The sequence below is a fragment of the Homo sapiens genome, chromosome 1 (assembly GCF_000001405.40).
Source record: "Homo sapiens chromosome 1, GRCh38.p14 Primary Assembly".
NCBI classification, from domain to species: Eukaryota; Metazoa; Chordata; class Mammalia; order Primates; family Hominidae; genus Homo; species Homo sapiens.
The window spans coordinates 230,924,127-230,947,582 of record NC_000001.11 but is presented as its reverse complement, the minus strand read 5'-3'; the positions used below and the strand labels follow the sequence as shown (position 1 = coordinate 230,947,582).

Sequence of the window (23,456 nt, the reverse complement as noted above, 5' to 3'; positions counted from 1 at the left end):
TTATGATATTTTTTTTTTTTTAGCTCATTAGTTATCATTAGTGTTACGGTATTTTATGTGTGGCCTAAGACAATTCTTTTCCCAATGTGGCCCAGGGAAGCCAAAAGATTGGACACCCCTGCTCTAGAGGATGAGCTCACTGGGCTTACCGCCTCCCACCCCAGCCTGGCCAGGGTTCGGTTCGACTGTTGACTGTTCTGTCTTCTGGCTTTTTTGCTACAGAAAAGCATGACGCCAGTCTTACTTTTAATTCCTCATTAGGTTCCCTTTTTTCCTGCTCCCCTTTTCCCCCTGACACCTGTATCCTTTCTCCATCCAAACCACTTACTCTGCCTTCCTTTAAGCCAGGAAGAATACTTAAATGTTTAAAGTGCTTATCTCTGGGGGGGCAGGCTTATAGGGCTCCTTTACTTTCTGCTTGGTGCTTTTCTTCATTTTCTAAAATTTTTACAGGGAAACATGTATTACTTAAAACATACTTTTTTCTGATTATAAATGAGCATGTCTGTTTTAAAAAATTAACAGGAATATAACAATATATTAAGTACAGTGGGAATATATCTAGTAATCTCACTCCCCAGAGGAAATTCCTGGTAGCATTTTGGAGTTTATTTCTGTGCACCTAATGGCTCACACAATCACGTATAAGTATGATTTATGAAATATGACTACCATCTTTCTGTAGGTCTATAACATGTACTGTTCCCCGCCCCTCTTAGAAAATAGCATGAGCAACCTCTATACCAGTTACATATAATTCATAAATCCAGAACTTTGTAGGGGCCAGGGAGGTAACATGAGTAAAGAAAGTTGGTGCAGTGTGGCTGTGATGGGTAGGCCCTGTGGTGAACTGATGGACTTGTACCTCTCATCTATAGAGACAGCCAGTGCTTAGCTCTAGTCTCTTATTTATTGCTGTGTGAGAATGCCAAAATGTGGGCCCATGTTTGTTGGATCTTTTGATGTTCTAAGAGAAGCTAGAAACCTAAAATTGTTTAGTTGAATTTTTGCAATTTTTCATACACCGTGTAGTCCAATCTGCTGTCTGGGTTGTGGCCAGCGATATGCCAGTTTACCACTGGATATAGATGCATCTCATTCTATTTGAGTAGCCTTTAGGAAAATTTAAATGCGTGTTATCTTCTCCTTTATTTTTTCCCATTTACTCATCATTGAAGTGAATGTGTTCATTTTCTATAATACTGGCAGATACCCTAGCTCAGATTTGAAACTGAACAGTAGATTAATCTATCAAGTTTTTGCAGAGTTTCTTTCTGGAGAATCCAGTGCCATTCTATTAAATCCCTTAGCAGTGCAAGACTTCCACCCAGGACCTTATAGCCAGAGGCAGCTGTTTATTCTTCTTTCTTAACTGTATAGCGAACCATTCAGAGAAGTAAAAATTGTAGAGGCTAAATGTAGATGAGAGGCATTTCATTCACTCACCAACTAACCTGTGTGTAAGGACTCAATGGCCGGGGTCAACAGATGTTTTGTCCTTGGTCCTGATAGATGTTTCCTCCACCCCATCTGGATTGCAGAATAACAGGAGAAAGCATGGGAGCAGGCTGCAAAAAGAGTCTGGTTTTTTATTTCAACCCATTAGTATGAAGGGTTGAATTAATCTCCAACAGATTTCAGTGCAGCCTCATTTCTAGTTCGTCATTGTGTTGGCACTGAGTGGTTCTTTCCTTTTCAGGTAATTTCATGGATATATGAAAGAAAACACATTAGTTACAGGCATTACCTAATCCTTTGCTCACATCTCTTTACCCCTCTGAGCCTCCTTCTTCTCTGTAAGACATGATTGCTGATGCTGCCAGAGTTGTTGAGAGGATTGCATTTTAAATAAGATGACCCTGTGAAAGAAACCAGCATGTTTCTGCGTAATGTTGGTTCCCTTCTCTCTCTATTATTTTTTTCAACATGAAACTTTTATCACATTTCATACAAATGAGCTTTAAGAACATAGACTTTTCAGGTTGGAGACTGCGTATTGACTTACGAGTGGTCGTAGCATAAAGAAGTAGAGCTGTCACTTGCGGCATTAACGTGCTTTAAGCAGAAACTGATTTTTTGTTTTGTTTTGTTTATGGTTTTTGACGTGTTTTTGTTTTGGTCTGACTAGGAGGAGCCTGATCTGGTTAGTGCAATTTATGGCCGAGGGATAGCCTATGGAAAGAAGGGACTACATGTGAGTATGTAATAGTTACGATTGCCATAGCGCCTACATGACCTGACACAGACCAGGGTTTTGCTAGAACTGCTACTGTTCATTGACCCTTGATGGGATGTGGAGTGGTATCTATCATTCCAGTTCACAGATGAGAAAATGGCAGCTAGTAAGTGGTGGACTGGGGATTTCCACCCAGATCTTCTGAAGTCAACTTTGATGAACTGGATAGACTAAGAAAAGCATGAGACCCTGCTTGCTTTCCTAAGAGATATTCAATGGTCCAAGTGGAGACTGGGCATCAATAGTGCAGTAGGACTTAGAGTTTGAGTTCCTTTCACAATTATTAAAGGTTGGTGAAAGAACAAAAGGTTTTTTTAGGCATGTAAAATTTATCTTTATTTGTTATATTTTATACTTTTTGCATATGGCGTAATATCTTTGTAGCTGTAATCAAATTATTCCCCTTATTTCTCTGAGGAAGGCTGGAGAAGGACTATAATAATCATATTTTACACAAACAAAGGTACTATGGTATAAAAATGAAGACTCCTGAAATTATATAGTAAATCACGAAATGGTGTAAGTTCAGCTTTCCAAATTTTTAGTCTAGGACATTATATGCAAACTTTTTCTATTGTCTTATTGTATACTAAAAATATTTGTGTGAAATTGTGCTTTGAGAGAAATGCCACTTTTGCAACTTTTACATTAAAATATTAAAAATGTTTAACATTTTTATTTTATTACAATTTATAAAATATTACAATTAATATTATACTAACCTTGTGCTGGCCTATTGGAGAAACTTTGTGTATTTGTATACTTTGAGACATAGAGGACTGAGAATGAATTTAGAATTGGGAATGATGGAAGTGCTTAGGAAGGAAATGATATTTTACTCAGAGCATCAATGAATGACCAGGTTGAAGTTGCAGTAGTAAAGTTCAGAGCTGCCTCTTCCTAATTCTCATCTTTTAAAATTATATATCTTGAGATTAAATTTGCATGTATATTTAATAAAAAGTTGCACATGCATTTTTAATGTAAAAATAATGTGCAAATGTTAAAGAGAATGTACCTAAACTTCTTAAGGTATAGATTTATAGGCTTATGTTTTTGATAGACACTGTCTTGACCCATTTCTGTTCCCCTGTTGCCACAGGTCAGCCTCATTTCATGTGCTGGTATCCACATACTCATCCATTGAGATTCGTTGATTCCATGTTTAAGTAGATTAAGTTTAGATAATATCCTGCCATCTGTGGAATTTGTGATAGGTAGCCGGGTCTAACATGTTATTGTTGAGTAAGTAGGTAGACTTGAGTGAGTTAAATAATTATAATATCATGACTGATTTGACATGGCACATCTCTTACATAGAAGTGAAGTTCATATTTATTTTTAAACAATTGGTTACATCATTACTAAATTATTAGTTTTCTCAGAAAATTTTTTCAGCCTGGTTTTGAGTAACAGTATGTCTCATACTAAGCTAATGCCTTTTCAAGGACATTAAGAATGCTGAGCTTGCTCTGTTCGAACTGAGCCGAGTAATTACCTTGGAACCAGATCGTCCAGAGGTATTTGAGCAGCGAGCAGAAGTGAGTGTGGCTTTCTTTTTCCCTCTGTCATTATTGGATTAGTTGAATCTCAATTTTTTTCCTATTACTTTATTATTTGTAAATTTTAATGCTCCCTTAAAACTCTTATGTTTTTCTATGTCGGTACTTAATGCCTTTAAGCATGGTTGAAATTAATAGAAAACTATGGATTGAGTGATATTCCTGAACTAACATAGAAGAGTAATATTTAGTATGAAAATATGTGGTTGAAAATATTTAGTATGAAAATATGACGTGTACTACTTCTATAGATATTCATTGAAAAATATAACACATAATATTTGTGTTATATTTTGAAAAATATAACACAGAAAAATACAACACACAAAAGAAACACAGTTTCATCCATGTCCCTACAAAGGACATGAACTCATCATTTTTTATGGCTGCATAGTATTCCATGGTAATATGTGCCACATTTTCTTAATCCAGTCTATTGTTGTTGGACATTTGGGTTGGTTCCAAGTCTTTATGTAACAAACCTGCACATTGTGCACATGTACCCTAAAACTTAAAGTATAATAATAATAAAATTTAAAAAAAAACACAAAAAATATAACACAAAAGAAAAACACATAATATTCATTGAAAAATATAACACATAATATTCATTGAAAAATATAACACATAATATTTACTGTATATGTGACATACTTTAGCAAGACTTGATATGACTGTTAGGTCAAACTGGAATTCACAGCCCTTGGAAGCGTTCATTCTGCTGATGTGTATGTGTGTAAGCACTTAAATGTAATTCTTATGATATAGACCTAGGTGCATGGATACATAGATCAAGTGAGGATGATGACAGCCACATCTTAAAGGAACTTGACATAGAGACAGATAATATGTGGTGAAGATGCCATGTAATACTGGCTCAAGTAGACAGAGGAGGCGCTTCTTTGGGAAGAGAAGAAGGGGAATGTTGGGAGTGTTTGCTGAGGCTGTCGGAGGAAGCGAGGCTAGAGCTGATCCAGTCCCATGGTGTGGTGGGGACAAGATGGAGGAGAGTGTTCAGCGCAGGGAAGAGAGTCTGTACAAAGGCATTCTGTTTTATGTTTTTAAGTGAAATGTGTTTGTTTTACTTTCTTAAAATAATAAGCTATCTAGGCTTCATATGTGTTAATGTATTTAGTCTGAATAAAACAACTTTTAATCATCTGATATGATCTCATAGTTGAACTAAAGAAAAAATTACTTTTTATTTTCTCTTTTGGAAGAGAAAGCTAGTAAAGGAAGTGCTAAAGGTATAGGAATTTAAAAACTGTATTTATGGTATTTTTGTTCTTAAGATTATTGTGTCTTACAGTTCAGTCTCTTAAAGTGAATTTTTGTTTTGTTGGGGATTTGGCTTTTTGAATAAAATCTTTCTCAATGAATGATTTAATTTCTTACCTCTTCTCTATTTTGAATTGTAACCCTAAGGGTTAAGTGACTATAGTTTATCACTGCATGAGACTTGCTGGTATTTAGTTGGTGTTTAGTGGCTAATTTGGTGACAGATTTGGTAATCATCTGCTTCTGGTAGGGGGGACTGATGTTTTTTCCCCTATATTACTCTGGTTTATGTTAAAATCTGGTAAATCATGAGTTAAGTATATTTAGGTAAGAATTATTTAACAGGTCTTTACAATTTGCATATCTAATAAAAAACTACTGTTTATCAAAAATGGCATTGGTAATTAGAAAAATAATTTTTAATTGTCTTAAAAATGTATAATAATATTCTGTTTTTCTGGCATTGTTTGGGCAATAATGTTACTACATACTGAATTTTCCGGCTAAATTATAACATACCATTTATATATGTCAGAGGTCATTTTATGAGTAATCTTTCACTTTCATGCTTTCTGAAATATTCTATATTTGATGAACATAAATTAACTTTTTAAAGTTACTCATTATTATCATATTGATTGTTGTGCTGGGGTATGATAATTCAGTTATGTACCTAGGGGTTGATAAACTAGGGAGGGATGATTTTCCTTCCCAAATACAACCCCAGCCCACTGTGCTTTTTGAATTCTCAGACATATATTCAATTTCTTTCCTCTTTCTGAGCTATCATGCTTACTACTGGTGATAGGCCTGCCTGAATCCTCTTTCTTGCTGGTTTTAAACTTCTGTAGAGTAGGAAATTATAAAATTCGGTAGAAATAACCTGTCTAATAAGGATGGAATAGGCTGGACATGGTGGCTTATGCCTGTAATCCCAAAATTTTGGGAGGCCAACACAGGAGGATTGCTCAAGGCCAAGAGTTCAAGACCAGCCTGGTCAATGTAGTGAGACCCCTACCTCTGCAAAAAATTTTAAAAAATAAATTAGCAGGGCATGATGGCACAACCCTGTAGCCTAAACTACTCAAGAGGCTGAGGTAGGAGGATTGCATGAGCCCAGGAGTCCGAGGTTACAGTGAGCTATGATTGTGCCACTACATTCCAGCTTGGGTGACAGAGTGAGACCCTGTCTCTAAAACAACAACAAAATAAACCCTAATTTAAGGACGTTCATTCAGGATAAAGTGCTTGGGCTTAATTGCATGAACACTGATACCCATTTTGGATTTTCTTATGTCTTTTTGGTTTACTTTTGCATTCTGAACTGTCTTCTATATTTTCATGTTGCCTGAATACAACTGATTGCTGGCTCAAAAGAGCTTTTCCAAACAGGCTTGCAGATATTTTTCCTCCTACTCTGCAGATCATGACTCATGAGTTAAAAGTTGTTACACAAAAGGGCTTAAAGAGCATCTGGAATCTTAGAAGTTGTCATTCAGCTCTTCTTACCATAGAGGACAGAGCTAAAGACCATGGAAGACTCTAATCTGTGTCCGATAATTTGTCTATTTTAATGGTTCAAAGTTATCTTTCAGGTTAATTTTGACATCTTTGTGTATAGATGCCAAATTTTGATTTAAAAGATAAAATCAAGAAAAAAAATCACATTGCAGGAAAAGCAACATCTGATACAACCCAGAATGTGAAATAGTGACAAGGCAGTTGCTGCAGTCATAGTTCATCAGCCTCCTGCTTGACTGGACAAAGATTAGTGGCACCTCAGCTGGTTGACTTTGAACCCCACCGCATAATATAGGGGGTCAAGGATTGCAGCCTGCTGAGAGTAATTTTTGAGTGGAGTATGGTGAGGTGGAATTGAAGAGTCAAAAACATTGGGATTTTAGGGTTGGTCATTGGTATTCTTCCTGATTACATGTTTGGGATTTCTAGATTCTGTCCCCTCTGGGACGAATTAATGAAGCAGTGAATGACCTCACTAAAGCTATCCAACTGCAGCCCTCAGCACGGCTGTACAGACATCGGGGAACCCTGTACTTCATATCAGAGGTGACTGGTTTTTGTCTTGAAGTATTTTTATGATGATGAAGATTTCATTTTTCCCTTGACCTCAGAAAGTGACTCTTTGATAGATTTGGGCTTTGACTGTTTAGTAATATGTCTGTGTCATAAGAGTTATAAAAGCATTTTCTGTAGCTGAAATTAAACCCAGTGGAGAACATTAAGTACTAAAAACATTTTCTTGTTTGAGCTGTCAGCAATAACTAATTCTGGACTGGCATTTAAAAAAAGAGAGAGAAAGATAAATTTAGTTTGTGGATTGTATGTCAATCTTTCTCGCAAATGTCCTCATAGGGAAGCAGGTGTGCATGTTGTCAATGTGATTATTAAACTTAGCGGTACAATTTGAATTTCTTTGGGTTTCACAGCCCAAGAAACACACCCTGAACTAGCATGGCTTTCCAGACTGTAGCTTCTCTATGTAAGTGACCCAAGCCTGACAAGGTTGTCTTTTATCATCAGAGTGGCATTTATGATTGCCACAATTATTTCTGTGGCTTATAGTACTTTAAATAACAATTTTCTGTGCCAAAGAAAATATATTAAAAGAGTCTCAGCATAACACATTTTAATGTTAATCTGTGGCATAATTATTCTGGGAATATCCAGTATGATAAAATGCTAGTACCAGAAATTTCTCTAACAGATTATTACCATAATACTATTTGAGATAAATTTTTTTGTAGTTGAGACAGAGTGCTTAAATTAAACCTTTGTTTTTCTCACAATCGCTTTTCTTAAAAAACTCCCAACTGTTTGAATGAGTAGTATAAGCACTTAACCAATATATAGTGTCATGAAATGTTTCCTTTAAAGCCAAAAAGGGCAGAGGATGAATTGAGATTTTTTTTCTCTACCAGCCAAAAATTAGGAAATGTTCACATATCTAATGAATACTATTTTATTTTTCCCCCCACTCTCCTTTTTGTAGGACTATGCAACAGCCCATGAAGACTTTCAGCAGTCCTTAGAACTGAACAAAAACCAGCCTATAGCTATGCTATACAAAGGTTTAACTTTCTTTCACAGAGGACTTCTGAAGGTGAAAGTGTTGTGCATATGTGTACCATATGATGACTCTGCTTCTCTTTTGTGGGTGGGAGGAATTTCGTTTGATTGATGGCTGGTATTTATTATTTATTGAGCTCCTACTCTTTGATGGGTTCTTGGAGGGAGATACAGAAAGGGAAAGGATCAAAGGTTAATAAGTGGAAGAAATGATACTTTACCTTTATAGAGGATACAGTTTGCAAAGCTTTTTCCACATATAATTTATCATATGGTAAACATACTCAAGAATGTAATATAAACAAAGTGCTTTGAAAATGTAGATAAGAAAGATTCATTGGAACTGCAGAGTTAGAGAAAGTTCCAAAGAACAGGTGGACTTTGTCCTGGAGCTGGAAGACTGAGTAGGATTAGGGGGTGGAGGTGGGAGAAGAAAAGCCCTTCAGGCAGAGAGGAGAGCGTGGGTGATGACTTGGGGAGATGGAAATATGGGCAGTTCACAGAGTGGGAAGTAGTTGGGTATGGTTTAAGGGAGATGAAGCTGGAAGGTCGGTGGAGGGCAGGTCCTTATCCTGGAGTACTGTGCTAAGCATTTTGACTTAAATTTGCAGACCAGAGGATCTATAAATTCTAGGTTGCCAAAATGCATAGATTCCAGCACTGAGACCAAATCTGTAATTTAGGAAGTAGATTCTGACAGTGTGGTGGCTGAGGAGATGAGGGACAGAAGGACTGACTAGGTGACATTGGTTGGGTCTAGGTCAGTGGGCATGAAACTTGACCCAGCTCCTTGAGAGACCACAGGAACAGGTTGGGAGACCCTTCTTTGATTGACTGTATTAGTATTGCTTGAGAACTGCCTGACTGCTGGGCAGAGGAGGTAGAGGGAAACAGGAAAGCTATCTGAACTGACTGAAAGTATGGGCAGAAACGTGGCCTCCAGCCTGGCCCTTCCTCCTGCCTGGGCACTCGATTCCATGTTCCGAGTCTGTGCGGGGAACCCACTGTGAGAAGGCTTGTGACAGGAGCCGGGGGCCTGGAACCTGACGGGGAGCTGCCTCTCTCACCTGGGCCTCCTTAGTGCCGCTCAAGGCCTGGCACACAGTAGGTGCTCTCACACAGGACATATCCAAGCTACCTGATGGAAGACAGACGGGCCTGAGAACGAAACAGAGGCAGCCTGCACAGCCAAAAAGCAATTCATTCTGACAGGAGCCCCAGAAGGTGGTACTTAACAAGAACTTTGAAGGCTGTGAAGAAATTTAGTAATGTGTGGCAGGGATATGTATTCTGCAGAAAGAACAGACATTTTATTATTGAAAGAGGTTTGAGGATCTGACATACATATATTTGGGTTGTGGGGAGAGTGTTTACCTGTGAAAAGGCTGCACATTGCAAATCCTCAGTGTTAAGGGCAGTGCCTGTCACAAAGTAGGTGCTCAATACGTATTAGTGCAATAATGAATTTCAAGGACAGAGCATTGAAGTTGATGTTGAATGGTCTTGGTTTGAGCTCTCGCTCCAAGCTCCATGGGCAATCAGTTTCTCCTTCCATGTCTATAAAGTGGAAACAATTCTACTTTCTGCCTCTTGGAGTGATCGTGAGGATTCAATAAAATACTCTATGTGAAAAGTACTTTGTAAGCTTTAAACAGGAATCAAATATTAATTATTATAGATTATTTTATCTGTGAAAATTTAAAGTTTTACAGATTCTAAAAGAAAACTCCCATCCCACTAAAAACCAAACCAAAAGGAATTTTGCAGATTCTATTTCATAAACCTCACATTCCTTTTGGAAGTATGTGGAGGATACTCCTAATAAAGACCTCTCTCTCCCCTCAGGATTCAGACTGGCAGCCGCAGGCTTTGAGAACAATTTCTTAAAACATGCTTTGAGCAGCTGCCAGATAGACTTGTCCAGTTTATTTTGTATCTGCCCTCTGTTCCTCTCATCTTCTCTGACAGTCACCTTAAATTTTAAAAACTCAGAACTTCGGTACTCTACTCAAATTATATCCCTTGGATATCTCATGGAGGAGAAAAAGATTACAAATACAAAAAATACCAACCTATTTGTATTAAGAGGTTGAAAATATTTTTAAAAGTAAACAAATGCAAACGGTTTCACTTTTAACATTGTTACTGTAAAGCCAGGTTTAGGAACATGGATGGGGCTCTTTGGGGTATTTGAAAATGAGAATTTTTCAGAAAAGAGAAACTAACTACAAATTGCACAAGAACTGAAATTCAGTTTGATTTGCTTTAGATCTGCATGATAAGAACCTAGAAACAGTGCTTTCATTTTGAGCATTAAAAGCCCCTCAGCAAACTAGTCCTACCAAGTTATTTGGTACTCTGTCCTTTTCACCATGCTCATAAGCACAGCATCAGCAAGTATAATAGATGGGAACTCTTGCTTTGCATTTTTATAGATCCACTGTCTGAGGAGGTTAGAGTAGTTACTTACTGACTCCTTCATCCCAACGGCATCTCCATGAGGTATAGAAGGAGTGGAGGGTGTCCCTGTTACACAGATTGGAAAACTGAGTCGGTAGTGAAACGGCTGAATTAATAAATGAACTTTGTCTAGGTTTTTCTGTTTCTCTTGTTAACCGCAGAGACAAGTATTAAATGGACCAGTGAGTTTGAGCTATCTTTATATCCTAAAGGTGGTCTCTCTTGGCCAACAGCAATTTAGAAATTAATTGAGTGGGTGATTGCTTATTTACTATATGATGTAATACGTTAGAAGTATATTAGGCAATATTACATTACAAATTTTACAACTATCTAATCCAGGGGTTATATCAGGCATTTTGGATCTTCCCAGGGAAACAACAAAAACTTTTCTATTGAATTCCATTGTTTTATCTATGTTGTAAGGATATTTCACAAACCATGCGTCCCAAGCACCATCAGTCTTCACTTTGAGAGTTTTCTGAGAGTGTTCTCTTAGTTACAAGGAACAGCCCTAGGGTGGTGGTTGCCTGTCAACTAGTAAGAAAGATGGGGACTGAAAATGGTGGGATGGCATTTGCCAAGCAAATTAATTCAGAGCCAGTTCATATGCTTAGAGATTGATTCATTCAAACGTAGTTTCTTTGTTCCCAACGCCTTAAAATCTTGATTCTACTATGTCCCCTCTTTGGCAGAATGAGGTAGAGAGCTGTGCAGTGATTAGACAGGAACCCCGAAACCAAAGACTCTTAAAAGCTGAAGAGAAATCAGACTTTGAAGAACTGTGGCGTCCAAGCATGCTGTAAGTGGAGTGGGCAGCCCCCTGGGCGTCTCCACCTAGCTGTCCACAAGCACTCCAGACTTAACACGCCCCGATGGGCTCGTTATTCCCTCCTGCCCCACCCCATCCCCACCTGCAGCTGCCCTTTCTCCTGTACTTCCTTACTTGGTTAATGTTCTTGCCACCCACCCAAGCTCTTCAGCTTAAAAGCTTCCTACCCTTTCTTCTCCCTCATCTCCCATACCCAGGCAGCCACCAAACTCTGTTGTAGTTTGCCTTTCAAAATGTCTCCTGAGGTTGACCCTTCTTTTCTCTCCTCAGAGACACTTTATTAGTTTGAGCTTTCATTATCTCTTGCTCCAACTACTGCAGCAACTCCCTAATTGGCTCCCTGTCTCCATTCCCTTCTGTCTCTAGTCTGTCTTTGTTGCTGCTAGTAGTAATCATCTCTAAAAAGTACATTTCCTGAGGTCATGCACCTGTGTGAAGCCCCCCAGTCCTCACTGCCTACACTGCTTGGCCCAGGAGGCCCTTCCTTTCCTGGCCCAGCTTCCCACGTTAGCCTGGTCTCCCATCTTTTCCCTCTCCACTGCACCCACCCATGCACCCTGCACTCCTGTACCATTTCTGAGTGATCTGTGCCACTGTACAGTACTATTTCCCCTCTCCAAAATGCCCTCTTTCTTTACCAAATTTCTTTTCATTCTCCAAGGCCCAACTCAATTGTCACTTCCTCCCTGAAGCCTGTTCTCTTACCCCAGGCTCAGTTAGTGATTTCTTTCTCTTCATTCTCAGAGACTTACTTATATCTCTATTCCAGCTCTTAATTTGTATTCCGATAACCTGGTGACACAACTGGCTTTCTAACTAGACTCCATTCTTAGAGGACAGAGATAATGACTGGCTCATCCTTGCCTTCCCTGCACCTCACACTGTCTCTGGCACATAGTAGGCGCTCAATATATGTTTACTGAATTAAGAATATAGTGGTAAAGTCTTAAAAGATCAAGGTTACACCATGGCAAGAAGCCTAACTAAAAGTGATCTTTAACATTTCTTAAATGTTAAAGTTTATCCATTCTCATCTCTCTACCCAACCGTAGATATTCAGCAGGAGTCCTTAATTAGTAGATTGTCATCCCATCGTTGCCTTTGAAGAGTTTGCACACCAGCCTGTCTTGTCCTGCTGTCTCCCTTCCAGAGAAAATCAAGGTGCAGGGAATGAATGCCTTTTTGAAAAGAATTAGAATTTTACTGCTTTTGCAAAACAATTTTGTGTGCCTTACCAAATCATTAAATATTTATTGAGTGCCTACCATGTACAAGGTATGTGACATCTTCAGTAGTTTTCTTCTATGAATTATCTAATCAGGTGTAAAATTATCTAAAGTCATGTCTTTTGCATTAAAGCGATTAGAGATCATGATGCTTTATAGCAGGTAACTTTAGTAAGATATGTCTTTTCCTTAGGAAAAGTGTTAGTAAGCTATATAGTCGTAATTTTTTTTATTGCAGTGTATAAGTCACAGTGAAAAGTACATTTAATGTTGGTTTAAGCCTAGGTTGTTTCTACTTAAATAGAATGGTACACTTGATTAATAGTTTTCATAGATGGAGAGGGAGTTAGGCAGTAGCCAAGTACACCATGCATTTCCAAGGATAGCTTCCCAAAGGATAGTGCCTGCTTAGCAGTTCTCACTTTCTTAGCCACAGACTTGGTGTTAGGCCGATGGAAGCTAACCCCAAACACCTCCAACTTAAGGTTTTTGTTTTGTTTTGTTTTACTTTTTCTTTTTCCTCGTAGATCATGGGAATCCTTCAGATGGTGAATCTAGGAGCCTTTTTGCTTGTTTTAGGAACAGTTTCACATTGGGCTTTCTTTTTTGTCTCTTGGTTCAATTTTAAATGTTGCCAGTTATGATCATTTTAAATTATTTCACACAGCTGTTAGGCTTGCTTTTGGTCCTAGGGCCTTTCTTAATTAAGGATATGATATTAATAATATGAAGGTGAAATGATTAGTATTCAAAGTTTTAATGAAGTAGCTAGTAATGAAGTAGATAAAATGGAAAGCTGATGTCCCATTGTAAAGGGGAGAAATTTAAGGCTCATATTTTTCATAGTAATGCATTTGTTTACTGAAATTAAATCCTTCTGACTTATAGTTTATTGCATTTTCTGCCTCTCTTTTTTAAAAGTCCTCCTAAAAGAAAATCTGTCAGAGACTAGGATATATATTTAAATCCTTTTATGATTTAAGTGAATCTCAATTTTAACAATTATGCAAATGAAATAATTTTCTCTACACTTTTTATAGGAAGCTATTGAATCCTTCAAAGAAGCTTTGAAGCAGAAAGTTGACTTTATTGATGCATATAAAAGTCTAGGGCAGGCATATAGGTGAGTAAAATAATAACAGTTGGGGTAGGAGGGAGGCTGAAGAGTGGGGAGACAAGATAGCTTCACATAATATTTAAAAGAAATAGTATTTCTTAACCAAAGGAGATGGGTATTTTGAATTGTGCAAGTATGTATAGACTTGTTGATATTTTCTCTGAAATGCAGAAAAATAAATTGTACCAGAGGATGTCATGATGCACAGTATTCTCTCTTAACTTCAGCGTGTGTATTGGTCTAGAAAACGTTCATCCTTCAAGGGTTGTTTTGAATAGTGGCATTGTAAGCTATTGGGGTGTAGACGCTGCTGCTACTTTCTTAGACAGTAACTAAGGTAAATTTCCTATGATCTCTTTGAAGAGTCCTAGAATGAAGGGATGGAAAAGTTGTGATTATAATGTACATCTGCTGAGAATGAGAAGTTGTAACTAGAACTTGGCTTCCTGACGCCATGCATTGCCCTGATGATTAGAGCCATTGTGACTTTTGGCTTAAAAAAAAAAAAAGTAAGCCGGGAGCGGTGGCTCATCCCTGTAATCCCAGCACTTTGGGAGGCTAAGGCAGGCAGATCACTTGAGGTCAGGGGTTAGAGACCAGCCTGGCCAACATGGTGAAACCCTGTGTCTACTAAAAATACAAAAGTTAGCTAGGCATGGTGGTGGGTTCCTGTAATCCCAACTACTTGGGAGGCTGAGGCTGGAGAATCGCTTGAACCCGGGAGTCAGAGGTTGCGGTGAGCCAAGATTGCACCACTGCACTCCAGCTTGGGCGACAGAGCGAGACTCTATCTCAAAACAGGAAAAAAAAAGTATATTGTGTTATGAAAAGGAGGTAGGATGGCATGAGTGAAGGAGCTCATGACTTAGTTCTGCCTTGGTCGTTCTGCAGGTATGAGTGCTTAACTTCCCTGAGCTTCTGGCTTCTCACTTGTAAAGGTGCTACAAAAGCTAGAAAAGAAAGACAGCGACGGAAAGTCCCTTTATTAGGTACCTTATTCAGGAAGGATTACATTCAAGAGCTTATTTATCTGATAGTTTGAGGAGCTCTTATACTAACTTGGAAGAAGTGTGTTTGGATTTGTTTGGGGTTTAAGGGATGATATTTGTGCTTCCTGTCTCACAGAATTATTGAATATAAATTGAAAACAGATTTGAAAGCACCTTGTAAAGTGCTGTATGAATGTAAGCAGGAATTATATTTTTAAAAAATGTTCACTATTTATAGAGAATTGGGTCCCGCTTTTCAGGAGGTCAAGTGGGAGCATCGCCTGAGCCCAGGAGGCTGATTTCAGCCTGAGCAATGCAGTGAGACCCGGTTTCTAAACCTATTTGAAAAGCAAATAAAAAGCAGATTGATCCATAACAACCATTTCCATCCTGGAATGGTTACAATTCTAAAATACACTTCTTTTTTCAGAATTCTAAATTATATAATGATTTACTAGATTTTAAGCAAAGCAACTTTGGTGACCAAAAAAAAAAAAAATGCATTTTTAAGGCTATGAATTTGATTGAGAATGATGAACTGTTTATGATTATAATTGGTATATTTTTTTCCAAATGGGAAAAGTGTGTTTCTATCCATATATTAACATTTACACAGTTTTTAGGGTTTGGGACTCATTGTGAATAATCAAGGAGAGGGGTTTGAATAAGCGTCTGCCTTTGGAAATCAGCAGATGAATTTTCCCCACAGAATTTCAAGAGCTCTGTGGTTATCCTATGAGCTGGTGAGATTTAGAAGTAAGTGAAATGTAATGTGTCAGAGGCTATAAAAAAGCAACAAAGGGAACACTCCCATCAAGGTATCTTGTTTACATATTGGTCCATAATTCTGAGGATAGCTTATTCTGTATGTTTCCCGTAATATCTATACTGTATTCATAACTATTATTAAATACCTAGAGAACTGGGCAATTTTGAAGCAGCCACTGAGAGCTTTCAAAAGGCACTGTTGCTCAACCAAAATCATGTGCAAACCCTCCAGCTCCGGGGAATGATGCTCTACCACCACGGCAGCTTACAGGAAGCCCTTAAGAACTTTAAGGTGAGCATCCATAAATAAGAACACTGTAATTGGAATTACTGGATTATTCTTCATTGAAGTTTAGTGAAATGAATAGAGAAGGGGGACTGAGAATAGTGTTTCTACTCCAACAAAAAGAAAGAGAAGAAATCATTGCTCTTGTCCTGTAGACTAGTTTACAGGTCTGGTTTAACCTGGAGGGAAAACTAATTCCAGAGTAAAGAATAAAGCATTTCAAAGTTTTCCTAAACTGTGTTGATACTAATGCAGCATTTTGTCCTCAGCGGTGTCTGCAGCTAGAGCCATATAATGAAGTGTGCCAGTATATGAAAGGGCTCAGCCATGTTGCCATGGGACAGTTTTATGAAGGGATAAAAGCACAAACAAAAGTTATGCTGAATGATCCTCTCCCAGGCCAGAAGGCTAGCCCTGAGTATCTTAAAGTAAAGTATCTCCGAGGTAAGTCAGAAAATCACAGAATTGTTGGATTTTCATGCTCAAAGCTGTAGAAATCATATTGCTTGACTCTTTTATGTTTCGTATGAAACAGTGGAGTCTGAAAGAGGCCAGGTGACTCATCCACAGCCACACCTTGTCAGTGCTAGTGTCGAGACTAGATGTTTCTATCTTCAAAAGATCAGTCAAATGCATTTTCTACCACTTTTAACATTTTTACTTTCTAAAGTTAAAACATTTTTTACTTAAGTTGAAAAGCCATATTTTGAACTAAATGTGACAAGCATCTGGAATATTTGTGTCTCATCACATCTCATCCAAGAATACAGGAAGGGCAGGAAACTGACATTCTGTGAGGTTCTTACTGTTTTTTTGTTTTGTTTTGAGATGGAGTCTTGCTCTGTCACCAGGCTGGAGTACAGTGGTGCAATCTCAGCTCACTGCAACCTCCGCCTCCTGGGTTCATCCCATTCTCCTGCCTCAGCCTCCCGAGTAGCTGGGACTACAAGGGCGCGCCATCATGCCCAGCTGATTTTTGTATTCTTAGTAGAGACAGGGTTTCACCATGTTGGCCAGGATGGTCTCGATCTCTTGACCTCGTGATCCACCTGCCTCGGCCTCCCAAAGTGCTGGGATTACAGGCGTGAGCCACCACGCCCAGCTGGTTCTTACTGTTAAATGTGAACTTGGTATCTTTGACTTGTCATTCCTTCATATCAAAATTCTCATATATTTTGGAGAAATATGAGGTGAGGAAGAAAGCAAATCTTGCAGTTACCCTTTTATTAGTTGTAGTTTTACTCACCTTTTATCTCCTGTCTCTGAAGACAGTTTTTTTAATTAAAGCCTACATTCTTTTTTGTTATTGTGAGCCCTTTATACCATGACTGTCCAAAATAAAAAAAAGGGGAAAGCTGTGTGTGTAATTTTAAATTTGTGGTAGCCACATTAAAAAAGTGAAAATCAAAGAAGTGGAATTAATTTTAATAATGTATAATTTTAAATTCAGTATACCCAAAATATCCATTCAATATATAACATAATTAATATGAAGCTGCTATTCATTAGATACTTTACATTATTTGTTGTACTAAGTCTTTGAAATCTGATGTATAGTTTATGCTATAGTACATCTCAATTTGGATGTTAAATTTTCATTGGAAATACTTGATCTGAATTTAGAATTTATAATATTTATAGTTAAGAAAGTAGGTTCATATGTGTAAGTTGTTCCACATGCACTGAAGTTTTCTGATGATTGAATCAAGTATCAGTTTGTAAGTTTAAATTAATTCAAATTAAATAAAGTTTAAAATTCAGTTTCAATCACCCTAGCCTCATTAAGTATCCAATAGCCAGGTGGCTAGGGGCTACCTATTAGAGAACATCTTTCTTCTACCTGAATTACAATTCCCTTTTTTCTGGTTCAGTGGAGCTTGCGCTTGTGAATTATAGGCAGAAGGGGCAGGTATTCTGTACTTTGGGTTTTTTCCTACACTGCTTTCATAGAGATAAGCAGCAGTCCATTAGTCGGTTGGTGAAATTATATACCCAATCAATCTATATACCAGTTGACAGAGTACCAGGCTCTATCTGAGACTGAACTTGGATTCTTAAGCTCTGGAATTGAAAACAATGAGATTTTTAGTGGTTTTCCTGGAAAGGTGATTAAAATTTAGCCAAACTAGGCCAGGCGCGGTGGCTCATGCCTGTAATCCCAGCACTTTGGGAGGCTGAGGCAGGCGGATCACAAGGTCAGGAGATCGAGACCATCCTGGCTAACACGGTGAAACCCTGTCTCTACTAAAAATACAAAAAATAAGCTGGGCATGGTGGCGGGTGCCTGTAGTCCCAGCTACTCGGGAGGCCGAGGCAGGAGAATGGCTTGAACCCAGGAGGCAGAGCTTGCAGTGAGCCAAGATTGCACCACCGCACTCCAGCCTGGGCTGGAGCAAGACTCCGTCTCAAAAAAAAAAAATGTAGCCAAAGTAGACCCAGACTGACTGACTTATATTTGACCTTGTTATCTCAAGTCAGTGGCAGGTTACCTCTATCATATACTAATAGTGACTTACTAAAATTTAGAAACTCTTTAGAATTCTTATAATTGAAGAACAGCTTGTTACAAAGTATTTGTATGGCAGCTAGCCATAAGAAAGTTTCTTTAGCAGTATTTGGATGTGTCAGATCTCATTTCCTTTCTGCAGAGTATTCTCGATATCTTCATGCACACCTTGATACCCCCCTTACGGAATATAACATTGATGTGGATCTGCCTGGAAGCTTTAAGGACCACTGGGCTAAAAATTTGCCTTTCCTCATAGAAGACTACGAAGAGCAGCCAGGGTTGCAACCCCACATAAAGTAAGTGCTTTAAATGAAGATGATTTTTTTTTCCTTTCTCAAAACTGAGCTATAAGCTGGGCATGGTGGCACGCTACTCCCTGCTACTTGGGAGGGTGAGGTAGAATTGCCTGGGGCCAGGAGTTCAATCAAGCATACTATCCTTGTGCCTGTGAATATCCATCCATCGCACTACAGCAACACAGCAAAGACCCCATCTCTAAAAACAAAACAAAACAAAAAACACCTATAGCAAACATCATTTTAACTTATGAAATGGTAGATACATTAACATTACCATTGGGAGTCAAAGCAAAAAGCCCAGAATCAGTGCTTCTCTGTAATACTGAACTACAAGTCCTAGACAGTGCACAGAGAGAAGAAAAAGAAATCAGTGATATGGATTAGAAAGGAAAATAGAAAGCTGTCATTGTTTGCAGATCACATAGTTTTCTACAAAGGAAACCTAGAAGATCTACAAATTATAGGAAATGATGAGAGTTTAGCAAGCTCATTGTTTATAATCAATATACAATAATCAGTTACATTTCTATATATAAGCAACAAAAATATCATTTATAGTAGTAACAAATACTTAGAAGTAAATCTTACAAGATCTGTATAAAATCTGTATGGAGATCACAAAACTTAATTGAAAGTTACTAAGATAAAACAAATAAATGGTGAGAAATACTATGTTCATGGATTGGAAGTTCAGTAACATTAGTAGGCCATTTATCTGCAAATTAATTATATATTTAATAAAATGCCATTCAAAATCCCAAGTTTTTTTGAGGCACTTGTTAAGCAAATGTATTGAAGAACAAAGGACCAAGAGTAATCAAGATACTCCCAAAGAAGAGGATGCTCAGGCTTGAAGGGGAAGCTTCTCATCTTACCAGGTAGCAAAACTTAATATAATAATGAACAGAATGGTATTGCTGCAGGGATAGACAAGTGGACTAAGGAAGAGAATAGATAACTTAGATAAATGGGAAAGGTGTGTTAGAGATCAGAGTGGGACTGGTTAAGATGTGGGAGTGGGCCAATTAAGTTATTTTATGGATAAAATAAAATTGATATTTGTGATGGCATAGTAATCTAATTCCAAATGGATGAAAATCTGAAGTATGAATGGCAAAATATTTTAAACTTTAGGAGGAAATATAAATGAAGATGTTTATGACTTTGGGGTAGACAAGGATTTCATAAGAAGCACAAAGCATAGATCTGAAACAAAAAGGTTGATAAATTGGACTACCTTGAACCTAAGAACTTCCGTTCAACAAATGACACCATAAGGAAAGAAAAATAAGCCCAAATTGGATAAAGATACTTGGAAATTTAATAACTGACCAAGAATTACTGTCCAAATTTATGAAGTATCACTACAAATTAAAAAATAAGAGACAACCAATAGAAAAGTGTGCAAAAGACATGAACAAGTAATTTTACCACAGGGAAAACATGAATGACAAACATGAAGAGATACTTTAGTTCATAAATTAAGGCCTCATGAGATTTTTTTCAGCCACTAGATGAGCAAATGTTACGAAGTCTGATAATAGTAATATTGGTCATAAGGGAGATTATGGAGAACTTTTATACTCCTGGTTAGAGTATAAGTTGCTACAACCACTTTGGAAAGCAGTTTTTCATTATCTAGTAAAGCTGAATATTCTCATACTTGATATAAGATTCTGTTCCTGTGTCTATTCAGAGAACTTTGTACTTGTGCACATGTCTACCAGGAGAGATTTATACAGGTCTGCCAGCAGAATTTGTTCACAGCTAACACTGGAAATCAACCCAAATGCCATCAACAGAAGAATGGATAAATGTGATACAGTCACACAATGGGATATTATACAGCAGTATAAACAAATGACCGAGGCAACAATGTGGATTAATTGTAAAATGTAATGTTGAATAAAAGCAGCAAGTCAGTAAGCTGTGCTCTCACATATTTTTTTCTCCCAAAGCTCATAAGCCAAACTGTAGAGTATATTGTATATATACATGTATGTAACAAACCTAGTTTTTAAAAAGGTACGTGAGTCAGGAGCACACATTTCAAGAGATGGGAGGATGGGATAGGAAAGCAGCATACAAGTAGATACAACTGCATGAATTGCTCTAGTTCTTAAACTGGGTAATTTGACTTCGTGTTTTCTATGTGTCTCAACTATTAAATGAGCAAAAATAATAAAAAGAAAATTGATTGCTCATGGAGATTATGCATGTTCTCGAACTACTCCTTTTTTGAGAAATATTTCGATGCACAAAAGAGTTAACATAGTAGCAGGTCTATGACTGCTGTCCTTAGAAAGGACTGCTTGCAAGAGTGACCCTTGGTTGGTATCTGGGAACTTGGATTTCGAGGGGATTCCTACCACTCCCAAAACTAATAGGAGAGGTTCCCTGTGCCTAAACTGTGTGTTCAAACAGTGTGATTTCTATTCAACACTTGCTTTCCTTCTGGGTATCTGGAATTTGGGAACTTGCCAGGCATAAGTTGTCTGTAACCCTGGCCACTGAGTCTTTAATGAGCTTTCCTGGTTGGCAGCATTTTACACGTGTTCGCAACTAATCGCTGGGAGAATTTAATGTGTCATATATGACTTCCTTGGGAGAGGACCCTTGGAAGCTTGTGACTGGTTTCCTCCAGACTTCTCCCAATGTGCCTCTTCCCTCTGCCGGTTTTGTTTTGTAAAGGACACAAAATAAAAAATGATACTCACTATTGTGAGTATCATTATGTGCTAAGTCCACTGAGCCCTTTCAGCCAATTTCTGAGCCTGAGTAAGGATGGTCTTGGAGATCCCCAGAACAACCTGTAATTTAGAGTTTCAGTCTTTGTTATAAAAGCATCAAGCAGGTTGGCAGCTAAACAGTAGTATTTCAATGTATCATTCCAAGTATACTTGTTCTAATACAACTTGGGCAGGGTTGAGGAGTGGACAAAGGGCAGAGGTTTGGTTGCTTGTTGAAAAAGGCAGTCCATTCAGGAATGTATTCTGGAGAAGTTTACAAAGCAAATAATGGAAAGAGGTGTCTTCTGAATTGCATACTAGTTATCATAGTTTTCACTGTTACTAACCAGCATGTGATGGCAATTATGCACATGCCATCATAGAGATTCCCTTTTAAGCTGAGGTATGGTTGGGTGCAAAGGACTGAAGTAAGGATTATGTGGTCGTAGACTGCTTCATTAGTTTTCCCGTGGAGGAAGTGACTGCTTCTCAGGTGGAATTGGATTACCAAATGTCTGTTGTAAAAGTCCTTATCATGTACATGATGTTTCTTCCAGAGATGTGTTACATCAGAATTTTGAGAGTTATAAGCCTGAAGTACAGGAGCTGATTTGTGTGGCTGATCGTTTGGGATCCCTGATGCAATATGAAACACCTGGTTTCCTGCCAAACAAGAGAATACACAGAGGTATTCTGGAAACTACCTGAAAATGAAAATATTCCTGGCATAAGAGGAAGGGTGGTTAAGCCATGTTGTGCATTTTAATAAATTAGTATTTATTGTGCTTATTCAAATTCTCCATGTGATCAGAATAGAAATGTGTAGAATCATTCAAACTGAATTCTGAAAGAAGACTGCTTCCATCCTTGGCTTTTTTGCTATTGCTGTAGTATAAACTAGAATATAGGTCTTAAGTCCTTACTCAAAATCAGACAGCTGATCCAGGGAGCTATTTCCTTACTATAGGAGTGAGGAAGAATGCAAACCTCCACTTGTTTCAGTAGGAGGCAGAGTTGGGAGCAGACAACTTGAGTTGTCTTCAGTTAACTCTGATGGGTTTTAATTTTAGTAGGACCATCATGACTGAAACGTGCCTTGGGTCTTGTTATATCACCAATACTTCTGACCCTTTATGTGTTAACTCTTGAGTTATCACTGAGACTCTGTAAAGTAGGTGGAACTCAGTCCCTCTAAAGTGTACTAACTCTTCTCGATATTCCTTTCTCGTAGCTATGGGTTTGGCCGCATTGGAGGTCATGCAAGCCGTGCAGCGTACATGGACCAACTCGAAAGTTCGAATGAATGGGAAGACACGGTTGATGCAGTGGAGAGACATGTTTGACATTGCAGTTAAATGGAGAAGGTAACTAACATCTCAGTGAAAATAAACTATAAGTCTTATCATTGTCAAATAACGTCAGTCTGTTTTAGCTAACAGGCTATGAACCCTGTTTTGCTTGCTAACACCAGGCCTTCCAAGTTAGGTTTTCCTCTCTAAAGTTTGTTAGAAATTGCTGGCATCTTTATTATTTGACATACACTTAACTAATATTTTCAAAATAGGAATTGATTGGCTGGGCGCAGTGGCTCACGCCTGTAATCCCAGCACTTTGGGAGGCCGAGGCGGGCGGATCACCAAGTCAGGAGATCGAGACCATTCTGGCTAACACGGTGAAACCCCGTCTCTGCTAAAAATACAAAAAATTAGCTGGGCGTGGTGGTGCGCGCCTGTAGTCGCAGCTACTCCGGAGGCTGAGGCAGGAGAATGGCGTGAACCCAGGAGGCGGAGCTTGCAGTGAGCCGAGATCGCGCCACTGCACTCCAGCCTGGGCGACACAGCGAGACTCCATCTCAAAAAACAAAAAAAACGAATTGATTGTTGTCACATTTTCAATCACCTATTTACATGAAGCATTTTAGAAACAGTCTCTTTGAAAGAACAGATCCATTACCTGTGGTACCTCTGAATGAACTTCGCTGGACCAGTCCCTTTACAGATAATGGTGTGCCTGGCAACTAGCTAGTTTAGAGTAACCTTTGATATTCATTTGCGTGACAAAAACTGTCCTCTGCTCCT

The 23,456-nt window shown here is 38.3% G+C and overlaps 1 protein-coding gene across 16 annotated transcripts in view, besides 1 other annotated feature; it reads left to right on the top strand.

Annotated features, from left to right (window-relative positions):
* TTC13 (tetratricopeptide repeat domain 13) overlaps positions 1-23,456 on the top strand; it is a 72,619-nt gene that overhangs the window by 31,279 nt on the left and 17,884 nt on the right. For 3 of the 16 annotated variants that reach the window (NM_001376510.1, NM_024525.5, XM_047430313.1), the window contains 10 exons: positions 2,129-2,194; positions 3,685-3,777; positions 7,027-7,143; positions 8,087-8,197; positions 13,722-13,804; positions 15,706-15,847; positions 16,111-16,285; positions 18,490-18,646; positions 21,936-22,066; positions 22,610-22,742. In NM_001376510.1, the coding sequence (NP_001363439.1) occupies positions 2,129-2,194; positions 3,685-3,777; positions 7,027-7,143; positions 8,087-8,197; positions 13,722-13,804; positions 15,706-15,847; positions 16,111-16,285; positions 18,490-18,646; positions 21,936-22,066; positions 22,610-22,742 (1,208 nt within the window). Of the gene's footprint in view, positions 1-2,128; positions 2,195-3,684; positions 3,778-7,026; positions 7,144-8,086; positions 8,198-12,539; positions 12,731-13,721; positions 13,805-15,705; positions 15,848-16,110; positions 16,286-18,489; positions 18,647-19,411; positions 19,528-21,935; positions 22,067-22,609; positions 22,743-23,456 lie in introns of those variants that run through there. The other 13 variants (NM_001376514.1, NM_001376509.1, XM_006711814.3 and 10 more) reach the window with 7 other exon arrangements.
* Positions 10,374-10,574: a silencer, noted in NCBI's record as "peak762 fragment used in MPRA reporter construct". NCBI's record gives its function as "represses an SCP1 promoter by STARR-seq MPRAs in K562 erythroleukemia cells {active_cell/tissue: K562}" and the evidence as "EXISTENCE:reporter gene assay evidence [ECO:0000049][PMID:32103011]".